The sequence below is a fragment of the Homo sapiens genome, chromosome 15 (genome assembly GCF_000001405.40).
Source record: "Homo sapiens chromosome 15, GRCh38.p14 Primary Assembly".
NCBI classification, from domain to species: domain Eukaryota; kingdom Metazoa; phylum Chordata; class Mammalia; order Primates; family Hominidae; genus Homo; species Homo sapiens.
Genome location: NC_000015.10, coordinates 43303277 through 43318624, shown reverse-complemented (window position 1 = coordinate 43318624; position 15348 = coordinate 43303277).

The following is a 15348-nucleotide window of genomic DNA, read 5'->3' as shown; positions in this document are numbered from 1 at the left end:
CGCCTACAGTTAAGTTAAAAACACTTGTTGCTATTTATTGTGTAAGTCCTGTGATCATGTCCTCTTTGAAGATGAGGAAACTGAGGCTTAGAGGAGGGATATAACTTGTTCCTAGACACAGACAAAGCAAGACAGGATTCAAACTCAGGATTGAGAATCCTGTAGTAATTTAAGTGTCAAGATAGCTTGGAGGCTTGGACCAAATCTGGACACACTAAACTAATCTTCCTGGCAAGAAACACCACCACCACATCTTTTTTTTTTTTTTTTTTTTCCGCTGGAGTTTCACTCTTGTCGCCCAGGCTGGAGTGCAATGGCGCCATCTCAGCTCACTGCAACCTCTGCCTCCCGGGTTCAAGTGATTCTCCTGCCTCAGCCTCCTGAGTAGCTGGGATTATGGGTGCCCGACACCACGCCTGGCTAATTTTTGTATTTTTAGTAGAGATGGGGTTTCACCATGTTGGCCAGGCTGGTCTCAAACTCCTGACCTCAGGTGATCCACCTGTCTTGGCCTCCCAAAGTGCTGGGATTACAGGGGTGAGCCACCACACCCGGCCACCACCACATCTTATAGACCTAACTGGAAGAGTCAAGATGGCACTTGAAGGAAGTACCTCTGAGAATGTGCTGCTGGTCAGACTGGCCGTACCGGCAGCGTTGACTCTGCCCCTGAAATGGCAAAACTCCTTTCTCCACATTGCCAACCCAGCAACCCGAGAACAATTTCTGTTGACTTTGAGAACGAAGCCTTACATAACCCTTTGCTGCCTCTACTTCTTTTACAGGCCCATGATTTCATGCCACACTGAAATCAAATAATCAAGGCATTGGTTTCTGTCACAGCAGTTAAACACAAACCATTAAGGGGAACCATTGTCCTTTTGTCCAGAACAACCAACCAAGCGTGAAACTATGAAAGAAATGTTTGCTATTTCCTGGGGCTGGCGTAGTACAGGCAGCCACCCCAGGTGCCCAGTCCATAGCTCAACTTGAAAACTAACTGGGTTGATTTTCTGTAGAGATGGGATCTCACTTTGTTGCCCAGGCTGGTCTTGAACTCCTGGGGTCAAGTGATCCTCCTGCGTTGGCCTCCCAAAGTGCTGGGATTACAGGTGTGAGCCACCATGCCTGGCTAGAGGACACATTTTAGAGCCCGAATCCACCATGGGATGACTTGAGAGAAGTCTGGGTACTAACTGCTGGAGATTAAATTAATCTGAAAGTCATTCTGTCATCTAGAAACTTTGCTACTGTTCTACCAACTGATTTACAAACCAGACTCCCTTTAGCATTTCATTTCATATTCATAATCTTTTTTGCTATAGGTCAAAAGTTAAGAGTGAGCACTAACTTTTAGATCCTGGGATAACCACCCACATGGAAGAAATGACATCTGTCCTGACATTAGACCCTGCTGGGAGGCATCTTTTTTTTTTTTTTTTTTTTGAGACAGGGTCTCACTGTGTTGCCCAGGCTGGAGTGCAGTGATGCGGTCATTGCTCACTGCAGCCTCCAATTCCTGGCCTCAAGGGATCCTTCTGCCCAGCCTCCTGAGTAGCTGGGACTATAGGCACATGCCACCATGCCTGGCCTGGGAGGCATTTTCTTTACCCCTTCTGGAAACCACAGGAACATGTCATTTTCAGGGGGACTGAATGAATCTCTGGCTTATTGTTGAGTGGAAATAGCTGCTATTTTGAACCTTGGAAACTTGCTTAATGGTTACACTCAGCACCTCACCTACCTCAGCCTTGAAATGTTGCCGAAACCACAGGATAATCTGGGACACCTCGTCTCCTTCTTAAACACTGTCCAGATGTTTTATCTCAGGATGTTGTGTTTACAAGGAAATGGGGCTTCCCATTCCCCTCCCTCTGATGAACATCCTGACTTTCTGCCTTCACAGGAGCTTTATTTCACTGATTCATTTGTAGTTATTTATGGGATCATAAACGGTGGGTCAGGGGGAAAGATAGAGGCTCAAGAGAAGGAGACCAGGATGTAAAAGCAGTGAAGCTCTTCCCTGACTCCAAGCCAACACCTATCAGGAGCTGAAACCATCTGTCATTCAGAACTTCTGGTGAAAGTGTTGAAACAATGGCTTAGCCATGTAGCCATCCTTAAATCCCAGTCTGGCCCCTTGCCTAGGTGCAGGGTTTCATCAACCACACCCCACTTTAATGATTTTTCCCCAAAGTCTATTCCAACCAATGAGAATGCAAGCCAGAATAATCATTAACAATACCACAGACTGACGCAGAATGATCTCAACCTGGTGTCCTGTCAGATTCTGAATAAACTTTCCATCACCCATCCTGATTACTCTTCCTTTGGCTTAAAACTTGTGCAGGGAGTTGCTCAGGCTCATTACGTATGTGAGCTGAACCTTCCCGAAACAACAGACACAGGTGGAGTCCTAGGGCCTGTGTCAGGAATTTGGAAGCCACAGAACCATGGGATGTAAACCAGGGAAGGACACTTCCTAACTTTCTGTCTTGCAAGAGATCAGAGAGGGCTTTGGGCCATGGCCAAAGCCTAGACACAGAGACTCTGTGTGCAGTATACTCAGCCAGAGAATGTTCAGTGACCAGAGAGATCAGAGTGATGCACTCCTTCCAGAGAAATAATACAAGCCTTTTTAATAGGAGTGGAAAAGGCAAGACACTTCATGGCAGTCACCTAGGGTATAGAAAGAAAATGTATTTTATTTTTATTTATTTTTATTTATTTTTTAGAGAGAGGGTCTCACTCTGTCACCCAGGCTGGAGTGGAGTGGTGTGATCTCAGCTCACTGCAACCTCTAACTCCCAGGCTCAAGCAATCCTCCTACCTCAGACTCCCAAGTAGCTGGGACTACAGGCGTATGTAACCCTGCCCAGCTAATATTTTGATTTTCTGTAGAGATGGGATCTTACTTTGTTGCCCAGGCTGGTTTTGAATTCCTGGGGTCAAGTGATCCCCCGGCCTCGGCCTCCTAAAGTGCTGGGATTACAGGTGTGAGCCACCAAGCCTTGCTAGAGAACACATTTTAGAGCCTGGATCCACCATGGGTGACCTGAGCGAAGTCACACAATCTCCCTGGGACAATGTTTTCTTATCTAAACAATGAGTTTGATAATATTACCTACCTCAGAAAGTGCTTGTGAGGGTCACATGAAGCATGTGTCTTGCATGGTGCTTGGCATGCAGGGCACACACAAAACAAATGTTGCTGTCCACCTCTCACTCTGCTTTCTGAAGCTGACATTAATCCCAGATCACCTGGGAACTACCATCCTCAGACCTGGGCAAGTAAGGCCCACACCTCAGAGGGCCTGCACTTTGGAGTGCCTTCCTCAAAGTTTTCTAAACCCCTCTCCAGGAGGACTGGCAGTGCTGTCCAGCCTGGACTTGGTCCCACATGGGCCTCAATCCCTTTTTCACCTCTCCAGGGCACTCTGACTCTCAACACCCCTTCCCTGTTCCCTCATGTGGGGTTGATCAGATTCCCTGAGAAACTCTAGGACTCACGTTGATGGGGTTGTCCCTGGGCCCCATGGTCAGGACCAGGTTCCAGGAGGGGCAGCCTGGGAAGCAGATCACTCCCACTCGGCAACATGCTGTTTCTTCTTGAGGGATCTTGCAAGATTGAGCACCAGAATGGTGCTGACATGCTGACTTTGGGTGGCTTAAAATTTTATTTAGACAGGAGCCCCGGAAAAATATTTTTTTGCAGAGACCCTGCAAAGTCTAAGGGTGACTCTGCCTCTGGAACTTGGAGACACCTGTCTTCACAGGTGGTTATGTGGGCTTTACTAGCATAGTAATTCTTGATATACCAGCTGTCAACATTAGGAAATGTTTCCGCTTTTAAAATGGCAACAATTTAAAACATTGTCTTTAAGCTAAAATTCCAGTGTTGTCCCCATTTTCCTTCCCTGTCCATCAGGCTTTTGCCTCCCTCACATTATCACCAAATAGAAACATACAATATGTGCCCTTTTGTATCTGGATTATTTCATAGCGTAATGTTTCCAGGTTCACCCATGTTGTAGTGTGTATTAGTACTCCATTCCTTCTCATGGCTGAATAAAAGGACACTGTCAGCTCTATCTCTATCTGTCTCTCAAATCTAGCCCCTTCTCTCTGCTGCCTTAGTCCAGATCTCCAGATCTCCACCTGGACTACTGCAGTGGCCTTATGGCTTCCAGATTCTCCCACACCATTCTATTTCCCACACTGACCAGGAAGGAGGAAAAGCCCACATAAAAAATATGTTATGACTCATGGCAGCACTAGTCGCAGCAGCCAAAAGGTGGAAACAACCCAACTGTCTATCAGTGGATGAACAGATAAACACGATGTGTTATATCCACAGGGGAATACTATTCAGCCATAAAAAGGAATGGAGTAGGCCAGGCCTGGTGGCTCACGCCTGTAATATCAGCAGTTTGGGAGGCTGAGGCAGGCAGATCACCTGAGGTCAGGATTTCAAGCCCAGCCTGGCCAACATGGTGAAACCCCGTCTCTACTAAAAATACAAAAATTAGCTGGGTGTGCTGGCATGCACCTGTAATCCCAGCTGCTCAGGAAGCTGAGGCAGGAAAATTGCTTGAACCTGGGAGGCAGAGGTTGCAGTGAGCGGAGATTGGGCCACTGCACTCCAGCCTGGGCAACAGAGCAAGAGTCTGTCTCAAAAAAAAAAAAAAAAAAGAATGAAGTATTGATACAACATGGATGATCAAAAACATTATGCTAAGTGAAAGAATCCAGACACAAAATGATACATATCGAATGTTTCCATTTATATATAATATTCAGATTAGGCAAATTCATAGATACAGAAAACAGATTAGTGGTTCCCAGTGGCTGGGAGAGGGAGGAATGCGGAGTGACAGCTGAATGGATATAGGGTTTCTTTTTAGGATGACGGAAATGTTCTGAACTAGATAGTGGTGATAGTTGTACAACACTGTGAATGTACCAGATGCTATTGACATGTACGTGTAAACTTGTGAAAATGGTAAATTTTACATTCTGTGTTAGCACAATAGAAAAAAAAATGTGTTGCCAAGGTGGTCACTGCTATGGTTACCCAAGGCTCAGTCCAGCTAGGAGCCAGGTAAAATGTACCTCAGAATTATCCACTCTGAGGGCTGCCAGAGGGAGCATTTACTTATCAGATCCTGGTCCCCCATGGTCAAGGATTGCCCCATGGGGTATTAACTTCCTTCCCTTTCTAGATTTGCACATGTGTGAGTGCCCAGCAGGTCAGAGAAGCTCTGGGGCAGAGCATGAGCGAGTCCTGATGGAGTTGAGACACAGGGCTATCAGCTCGCACTTCAGGAAGGTGTGTGTTAAATCACTTTAGCTGCCACGGAAATAAGTGGAGTAAAAGGTGGGCAAAGGGGATGTGAGATGGGGCGCCACATGTGTCCAAAACACGCTAAGTTTGAAATCCTACAGATGCAGACTCATAGAATTTGAAAATAAGTGGAGAGGAGAGAGAAACAGGAAAGAAGTTTGGTGGATTCGTGTCACTCCCTGATCTTCAGTTGAGCTTCACGGAGTCATTGTCTCATCTCCTCACAGCCTAACTTCTTCCTCTTCACCATCTCCAATTGCACAAGCTTGCTCACCCAAATTCTTCCACAGATATTTTTCTTCCACCGCATCAGTATGTGCTTCTTTCTCTCCATCTACCAGCATCCTCCTGTCCTCCCTTTTTCCAAATCCAGTTCAGAATCCATGGTCCATAATTTCAGTTACTTTCCCATGACAGTTCTAGACTCCGGCCCATTGGCATTTTTATACTATTCATCTGAGAAAACCCCAGCCCCTAGGGAAATCAGCTCCCAGGTTTCTCCATAGTCATATTCTGAGATGAGCCCCACTAAAGAACAAAAAGCACAGGACAGGGCAGATCACTGTAGCAGAGATTACCAGCTCTGTATTTCAATATTATATCCTTAATAATAGGACTCATGTCTAGTTGGACACACTGCTACCAGGGATGAAAGATTGCATTTCCCAGCTGTCCTTGTCTGCAGATGTGGTCATGTGACTAAGTCCTAGCAAGTGAGGAAGAACGTTAAGGGCTGCTGCTGGAAAGGTTAAAGATAGAGTCAACTCAGCCGGGCATGGTGGCTCACACCTATAATTCCAGCTGAGGTGGGCGGATCACCTGAGGCCAGGCGTTCAAGACCAGCCTGGCCAACATGGTGAAACCCTGACTCTACTAAAAACACAAAAATTGGCTGAGTGTGGTGGCAGGAACCTGTAATCCCAGCTACCTGGGAGGCTGAGGCAGGAAAACCGCTTGAACCAGGGAGGCTGATGTTGCAGTTAGCCAAGATCGTGCCATTGCACTCCAGCCAAGGTGACAAGAGCAAAACTCCATCTCAAAAAAAAAATAAAAAATGAAAAAGAAAGATAGAGTCAACTCAGCAGAAGACCCCCACTTTTCTACCTTCTGATGCAGCTCCTGTTACCATCTTGAGCCATGACCTAACCTTGAGGATGGAAGCCATGAGCCAAGATGCTGAAACAAAAAAGTAGTAGATTTAATGTAATCATATGCCAGCCTTAACTCCATAATTCCTTTCTGTGAAAGAGAAATAAACTGATCTAATTTAAGCCACTTTTAGTTTGTTTTTATTTTCTGTTACATGTAGCCAAACTCTATCCTACAAAATAAGCATAATCACCAATCTTGGCAAGGCTAGAAATATTGCCTAGCTTTTCCTGGCCAATTCATTCTCATATTCTCCTCTGTGACTATACCAAAACTTCATCAGTCTCAAATATTTGACTTTCCATTCCCATCCCATAGTCAACAGATGACCTGGTCTTCTGCTTCACTGGTAAAATAGAAGTTATCAGATTAGAAATCTCTCAAGTTCCTGCCACAAACTTTCCTGCCTTCCTTCACCCACGTACTGCCTCTCCTCTATTGCCATAGAGATCTTATCCCTCCTCCATGGGAGTCAAATCTCTCCACTTGTGATTTGGGTCCCATACCTCCCCATCTTTTCAAAAGCCCTATTCTCTCAATTATTCCTGAGGCCATAGAGCTAGATGTTTGTGTGCTGACCTGGCCCATAGGCATGTTTTATTTGGCCCACACAGGTTTTTAAAATTTTTATTTTTCTTTTACTTAAGGAATAATTTGCATACAGGTAAAATCCACTAAAAATAGTGCATAATTCTGCTGGTATTGACAAACATGTACCTTTGTGTATATACCACCATCACAATCAAGAAGAGTTGCAAGTCCAGGTGCTGTGGCTCATGTCTGTAATCCCAGCACTTTGGGAGGCTGAGGCGGGAGGTTCACTTGAGGTCAGGAGTTTCAGACCAGCCTGGCCAACATACTGAGATCCTGTCTCTACAGAAAAAAAAAAAAAATTAGCCAGGTGTGATGGTGTGCACTTGTTGTCTCAGTTACTCAGGAGGCTGAGGTGGGAGGGTTCCTTGAGCTCAGAAGTTTGAGGTTTGCAGTGAGCCATGATCTTGCCACTGCACTCCAGCCTGGGTGACAGAGAGAAAGAGACTTTCTCTTAAAAAGGAATAGATACAGGCTTCTCAAAATCAACCACATATTTTAAACTCAACCCATAATCTGACTCCCCACTCCCCAAAACTCCTATTTTAGTGCTTCCTATTTGAGAGAAAAGCATCACCCAGAGCATGGAGCCAGGAACCTTAGGACTCATGATATCAACTTCTCCCTCACTCTGTCTATCCAATTAATCACCACAGCCTGTTGATTTCACCTTCTGTTTCTCCAGAATCCTCCACTGAGAACATCTCGAATGCCGCTGCCCTGGTCCAGGTCTCCATCATTTCTCACCTGGATTACTGCAGGAATCTCTCAATGAGTCTCTCCCCATCCACCTTGCCTCCCTCCCCAGCCCTTCTACATACTAAAGTCTGAATGATCTTTTAAAACACAGATATGACATTTCACAACCCTACCTTAACATCCCTAATGGCTTCCATTACCCTTAGGGGAAAAACCCCAAAATGAAACCTTGGGCATGTCTTCATCTCATACTATGCTCCCCTTTGCACAAGGCACTTTGGTCCCCTGACCTTCTCTCAGAAGTGTTAAGGGAACCATGCTCGTTTCTCTCCCCATTGGAGAATTAGTACAGATTTCCCTCTGCAAAGGAAGCTCCTTGTCACCCAGCATCATCCCCTTCTTAGAATTTCCAGGCATCTTTCAAAACAAAGTCAAAAATCATTGCTTACCATCCCTCCCTAGACTAACCTGGCCCCCTGGAGATGTGGCTTCAGAACATTCTGTCCTTGCTGAGTTGGAGCTTCATAATTAATTGTGAGGTGTCTTCCTCCGTTGGTGGAATGTAAACTCTACGAGTGCAGGAATCATGTCTGTTATTTACTGCTGCACTCGAGCAACCTAGCTGAGTGCCACACTCATTAACACTCAACCAAAATGTTTGTTGAATGAATACATGAAAGACTGTCTTTGTCTTTAAACTCCTAGGAGCACATTCTGAAAGAAGTCACTCCAGAAACCCCCTGGGTTGCAGAATTACCCTCTGGGAAACAGTAGCCCCCAGACACTTGTTACTTGAGTTGCCAAGGGGCTTGGGGACAACCACTCTTCACTAATAAGCATGTGTCTTCCCTGGGGCTGTTAATGGAAATGACTTCTGTCGCTAAATAAACTTTAGAATGCACAGTGCTGACCCTGTGATAAGCAGTGAGGTCCCACATCAGCCTCTGTCATTAGCATGAGGACCAATTTGAAGTTGCCGCTTTCTGGGCCCACTGCATCTCATAAGATGTATCTCTTTTAGCCCAAAGCCCCACAGCTTCTCATTGTACCTGTGCCTCTGCTGCTCCAGAGGACAGCTATCTCTTTGAGATATTCTCCAAAGGAATTCTCCAAGAAAGAATTCCACAGGGTAGGATAGGGTATCCCACGTAAACCACATTTCTCATAATGTCATCCTAAACATACCTTTCTAATTTGATAAAAATCTGTTTAATTCTATCTGCAGAGCCTGGAACAATGCCTGGCACATGACAGGTACTAACTAAATCTTTGTGCAATGAATAAATGAAATGCATGCAGACTATGGGAGCATTTATCAAGGATGTCTTCCAGGAGAAAGGGACGTGTCAGCCAGAGCCCTGAAGAAAGAGGAGTAGTTAGCTAGGAAAACAAAGCAGGGGAGAACATCTTAAGGAGAGGCACATGAGAAGGATTTGGACTGGGAGAAAACAGGTGTGCCCAAGAAACTAGAAGAACTCAGAGGAAACCCCAAATTCCTAACCATCATTTACAAAGCTGGTGGCATCTGGCCCTTCCCTTCTTCTCTGCTTCTCCCTCCTCTCATTCCTCCGACACCAACCTCATTCCACTCATACTGCTGCCCTTTTCCTCTTTCAGATCAACCCCCACTTCCTGCCTCAGGGCCTTTGAATTTACTTTTTCCTTTCCTCCATTTTCAAAAGATTATTTTTTCTTGTCACTTAGCCTCAGATCAATATCACCACCCCAGGGAGACCTTTCTCGACCACCCAATCTAAAGCAGCATCTTGCCACCCCAAGTATTCTCTCTCTCATCCCCTTGCTGGCTTCTTTCTTCTTTAAAGCAGTTATCTCCATCTGAGCATATCTTGTCTATTTATCCATTTTCTTGTTCATTGATTGTCTCCCACTACTAAAATGTGAGTTCCACGAGGGCAGACATCCCACCAGTTTTGTTTACTACTGTACCCTCAGCACCTGACACAGAGGCTTAGCAGATATACATTGAATGAATGAATGGCTGTGGCAGGGAGAGAATAAGGAAAAGGAAAGCAGGGGCCAGATCATGCAGAGCTTTGGGGGTCACACTGTACCTTCTGGATCTTATTTTAAGGAGAATAAGAAGACATGGAAGAGTTTAAGCAGGTGACTTATCTGACAATCTTTGCTTTTTTAAAAGATCATTCTGGCTGTTGTGTGGTGTATGAATCATATGGGACCAAAATGCAGCAATGTGAGGCACAGACCAGGTGAGGTGATGGTGGCCTGGCCAGCTGGAGGGTGGGACAGAGATGGAAAGAAGGAGAGGGAATCAGATTACGTGCAGCCTGAAGAACTAACAAAGTTTGGTTATAACATAATTGGTAGGTTAAACACATCTAAAGAAAGAATGAGATCATGTTTGGCCAGACAAGCTCGGGGGGTTGTTGTTAGCAGAATTAGGCATTAACCTCTACCCCAGGTTTTGGGTACAGAAGCTGGGCAGAACTCTTCCATTACTCTTCCTCCATCATATTCAAGGGGCAGAAATGTCCTAGAAAAAAAAAGGGATTGGGGGATCAATCATGACTACTCTTCTTTGATATACTTTATTTAGTTATTAAAAGAAGTTTGGGCTGGGCGCCGTGGCTCACGCCTGTAATCCCAGCACTTTGGGAGGCCGAGGTGGGTGGATTATGAGGTCAGGAGATTGAGATCATCCTGGCTAACAAGGTGAAACCCTGTCTCTACTACAAATACAAAAAAATTAGCCGGGTGTGGTGGCAGGCGCCTGTAGTCCCAGCTACTCGGAAGGCTGAGGCAGGAGAATGGCGTGAACCTGGGAGGCGGAGCTTCCTGGGCGACAGAGTGAGACTCCCTCTCCAAAAAAAAAAAAAAAGAAGTTTGATGACCTGGGATGGTCCAAACTGAGGTCAGACGGGCAGGTGAGGGCAAGATGGGTGTGGCTCACCACCAGGAAGGGGTCTTCTGGATGGGAACCTAAGGCTCAACAGCAGGGGCTCAGGAGCTGATCCTAGGTGGAGGGTTTGGCTGATCTCATTATGCCCTCCTGCCTCACCCTCCTGGCTATATAGCTGAAGGCCTCTGTAATCCTCCCAGGCTTGAGGTCAAGGACATCTAGCCTGGTAGAGCCAGTCAACCTAACCTTGAAGAGTGCTCCTGAGTTTTTGTTCTCCAAGCAGGCACCAGCTGGTGTGAAAGCAGAACTGATTTGTGGAGGAAAGTAAGCTACCATGGGGATTATCTAGGACTTCTGGGGAGGGGACCCTGGACTCAACTTCCAGCTAATTTCATAGGGGAAGAATTAGTGGTGGTGTAATTCAGGTAGCCTAGAAAGTCAGCTTTATTTTGTAGGTGGCCCCGCCTGTTCAGGTGGCATCATCTGAGTGACACACAGAAGACAGGGAATCTAGTGGGGAAGAAAAATGATGCAAATGACTATTTAGAGTCTGATGAGTTTTGTGAAGGAGAATTGCAGTGCTCCAAGAGAGGAAATACGGGGACCTTGGCTAGCTAGGGTAAGTGTCTGTGAGGAAGTGACATTTCAGCTGAGTTTGAAGAGGGGGCAGAAGGAATGGCCAGGAAAGGGGATGGCTTGGGAAAAGATGTTAATTTGGGAATTTGGTAACTGGGAAAGCAAAAGATCAGCAAGCTAGTGAGAGGGAGAGTTGCAGGCGATGTGGCTGGGGGAAATGGTTAGGGTAAAATAAGGTGGCAGAACCTGTGGACTCTGTGAAGATTTTGGACTCCGGAGCAATGCAAGCTATTGGTACGTTTTAAGTAGGGGTGTGACCCAATCAGTTTCAGTCAAATATGATGTTTTCACTGCCTTAAGAATAATCAAGCCAAGAGCACTGAAAAGAATGAATGAGAATGAGGCTGGACGCTGGACTATGACAAATTCTCCCTGGCTATGAATGTCTCCTTGGGTAGCTTAGCAGCAAGTCTTGACATAAGTTCTCTTTTTTTTGAGACAGAGTCTCGTTCTGTCACCAGGCTGGAGTGCAGAGGTGCGATCTCGGCTCACTGCAAGCTCTGCCTCCTGGGTTCACGCCATTCTTCTGCCTCAGCCTCCCGAGTACCTGGGACTACAGGCGCCCACCACCATGCCTGGCTAATTTTTTGTATTTTTAGTAGAGATGGGGTTTCACCATGTTAGCCAGGATGGTCTCGATCTCCTGACCTTGTGATCCACCCACCTTGGCCTCCCAAAGTGCTGGGATTACAGGCGTGAGCTACCGCGCTGGGCCGTCTTGACATAAGTTCTTTTGCTCATCATGAATCTCACATTCTGAAGGATCATATATATTACCATTATTACCAATGCAAGTGGCTTTTTACCACTTTAAGGCTTCTACGTGCTCTCACAAATATCTGTTGGATTCTCAAATGCAAGCCTGTGAAGTAAGCTTTGCTATTAGCCCCATTTTACGTGAGAGGAAATTGAGACTCAGTGAGAATAACTTGCTTGTGGTCAAATTAAAGCACTAAAGCTCAGAAGGTCAGAGGAATATTCAACCAGGTTCTCTAACTCAGAAACCTGTGCTCTGTCCATTTGGCCACACAACCTTCAAATAGAGGTTCTAAACAGCTAATGCAGTTTTGTAATATTTACGAGAATGAGTAAAACATAAAATAAACTGGGGATAGGTAGGTGGAGTGAATGTATTGAATTTAAAGTGACTGCTGGATCTTCAAGTGGAGAAGCCAGTAGACACACATGAGGGTGTGGAACCAGGAAAGGATTATAGCATGTTTATATTTATTTTAGAGTTAAAGATCCTCAGAACATACTGTCCTGTTGCTGAACAGCAAATCTGGGGGATTCATGAACCCAGCAGAGCTTGGTCTGTTATCAACACAGAGATGATTCTATAGTACAAGACCCTTTTTGTTCTGGAAACTAAATTTAAAACTTGTCTATATCAGGCATTTTTCTTATAGGGAAAATTTACAGCAAATGGCATATAATGTGATCAATTAAAAACATGATTTATAATGTCATGAGGGGTACTGATTATAACTTAATCAATTGATCATAACTTAATTTAAAAATTAGTTGCCCAATAGAGCTGATTAGCTAGAATGCCAGATAGGGATGACAGTAATGTGTAAGACACCAAAGGAGGGTGGTGGTGCGAAAATGCTAGGGGTAATAAAAATCAATTTGATCAGTGATGTTTAGGTTTTAAAACAAATTACTCATAACCATAAAACTCTAATATCTGAAAGCAGTGTAGGAAAAACAGCAATGATATTGCATGTCTGAATCTCTCAAGCCTCTGACGCTTTTTCTCCCTACAGAAAACAATTGCTTTATAAAATGAGTTTTTGCTTTATAAATTGAGTTGCTGCAGGCAGTCCTGTTCCAGTTTCAGATGAGGTCCTAGCCGTCCCCATTTTCCCCACTTTGCTCCTGTGTGCCTTTGCCCTGGAATGCCTTTCTCACTCAATCTCTCTTCTCTAAAATCCTTTTCATTCTCCACTGGCACATCACAGATCACAATGCCTTTCTGGAGCTCCTCCCTAGAACTCCTCTGTCATTTTGAACTCAGGGCAGTTTCTTTTGTAGAGTGTGTGTGTATATGCCTGTGTGTGTGTATGTGTGTGTGTGAGTGTGTGTGAGAGTTTGTGTGTGTGTGTGTGTGTGTGTCATGAGACGGAGTATCACTCTGTCACCCAGGCTGGAGTGCAGTGGCATGATCTGGGCTCACTGCAACCTGCAGCTCCCGGGTTCAAGCGATTCTCATGCCTCAGTCTCCCAAGTAGCTGAGACTACAAGCGTCCACCATCACACCTGGCTAATTTTCGTATTTTTAGTAGAGTCGGAGTTTCGCCAGGTTGGCCAGGCTGGTCTCGAACTCCTGGCCTCAAGTGATCCGTCCGCCTCAGCCTCCCAAAGTGCTGGGATTACAGGCATAAGCCACCATACCTGGCTGTGTCTGTTTCTTATCTCCACCAATAGAGTCTAAGCTCCTTGGGGTTAAAGATCAGCTCATACTTTGTGTGCCTTAAAACTTTTAATATGGTGCCTTTGACATTACAGTCATTCAAGACTTGTAAACTGAATGAAGAAAGGAAGGAATGAAAGTAGAAGTGGAAATTCAGATACTCAGCCCAATAATGAGGCCCTTAGGATTGACCAAATGCAATTTCTCCAGTTAACCTGGATAATAATATTGCAGTTACTTTTATTTTTGACATGGAGAAATCTCTTCCCATCTAAGCCCTCAAATAAAAACTGAAGGGTTGAAATAAATAAATAATATATGAGATGTGAAAGCTTATTTTCATAAGGCAAAATTCATTACATCAATAAAGCTATATTTTTAAGTGGGATGGCAAATTGTTTTATATGGAAATTCTCACTTAAAAAAAATCCTGTCTTCAAGTTACAGTATGACTGCAGCTAGGGAAAAAACCCACTTGTGCACAGACAAAAAACAGGAATGAAATTTACCAAAATGTATACCCTTCTCTACCATTAAAAAAAATTCTGTTTTCAGTGGCGGTGGCTCACGCCTGTAACCCCAGCACTTTGGGAAGCTGAGGTGGACAGATCACTTGAGGTCAGGAGTTCAAGACCAGCCTGGTCAACATGGTGAAACCCCGTCTCTACTAAAAATAGAAAAATTAGCTGGGTGTGGTGGCGCATGCCTGTGGTCCCAGCTACTCGAGAGGCTGAGGCAGGAGAGTCAGTTGAACCTGGGAGGTGGAGGTACAGTGAGCAGAGATCGTACCACTGCACTCCAGCCTGGGTGACAGAGCAAGACTCTGTTTCAAAAACAAAAACAAAAACAAAACCAATTCAAAATATCTTTAATTTATGAATTAGAACTCTAAATTTAAAAAAAAAGTTATTTTAAAAACATCTGCCTTCCTCAAAAGAGCATATATTTCTATTACAAAAGATTCTTGGCACCAGTAATCAGGTATTTTTCTGAGCCAAGGTACAGCAATTTTAACAAAATAAAGCCCATAGGGTGCCCACTGAACACCGGGTAATGAGTGAGTTCAATGTGTTCGCCTGACCATCATTTTGTGAATACACTCAACGTATTAAAAGAGGCAGAGGATGTGACTGAAAGCTTTGGTTACAATAGGTGCAGGAATTTGTGACGAATGAATCACACAGATTAACTCAGGGAATTACGAAGGTCTTCTATATGTTTGACAATAATTAGTAAACATGTAAATAGCTTTAAAGTTTTTCTGTCTGCAGCACTTATTCTTTGACCAAACTAAGTTCCTCCTCCAGGAGTGCTGAATGGACACTTCTCTCCTTAAACTTTGAATCTGGGAAACACATACACACATGTCTGGATCTCCTGCCATGATCTTCCTATTCTTTTTCTTTCTTTCTCTTTAAAAAAAAGTGTTTTTTTCTCCCTAATTAAAAACATCTTACACTCCCACTGTGGAATTTTTAAAAAATTCAGTAAAATATAAAAAAGAAAGCACATTCACAATCTCACTGCTCTTAGCCACAGTTTGTTATATTTTCTTCTATCTTTTAAAAATGGGTCTATCTGCATAAATAATATTTTTTACACTGTTAAACTACACTGTTTTTTAAAAAATTATTT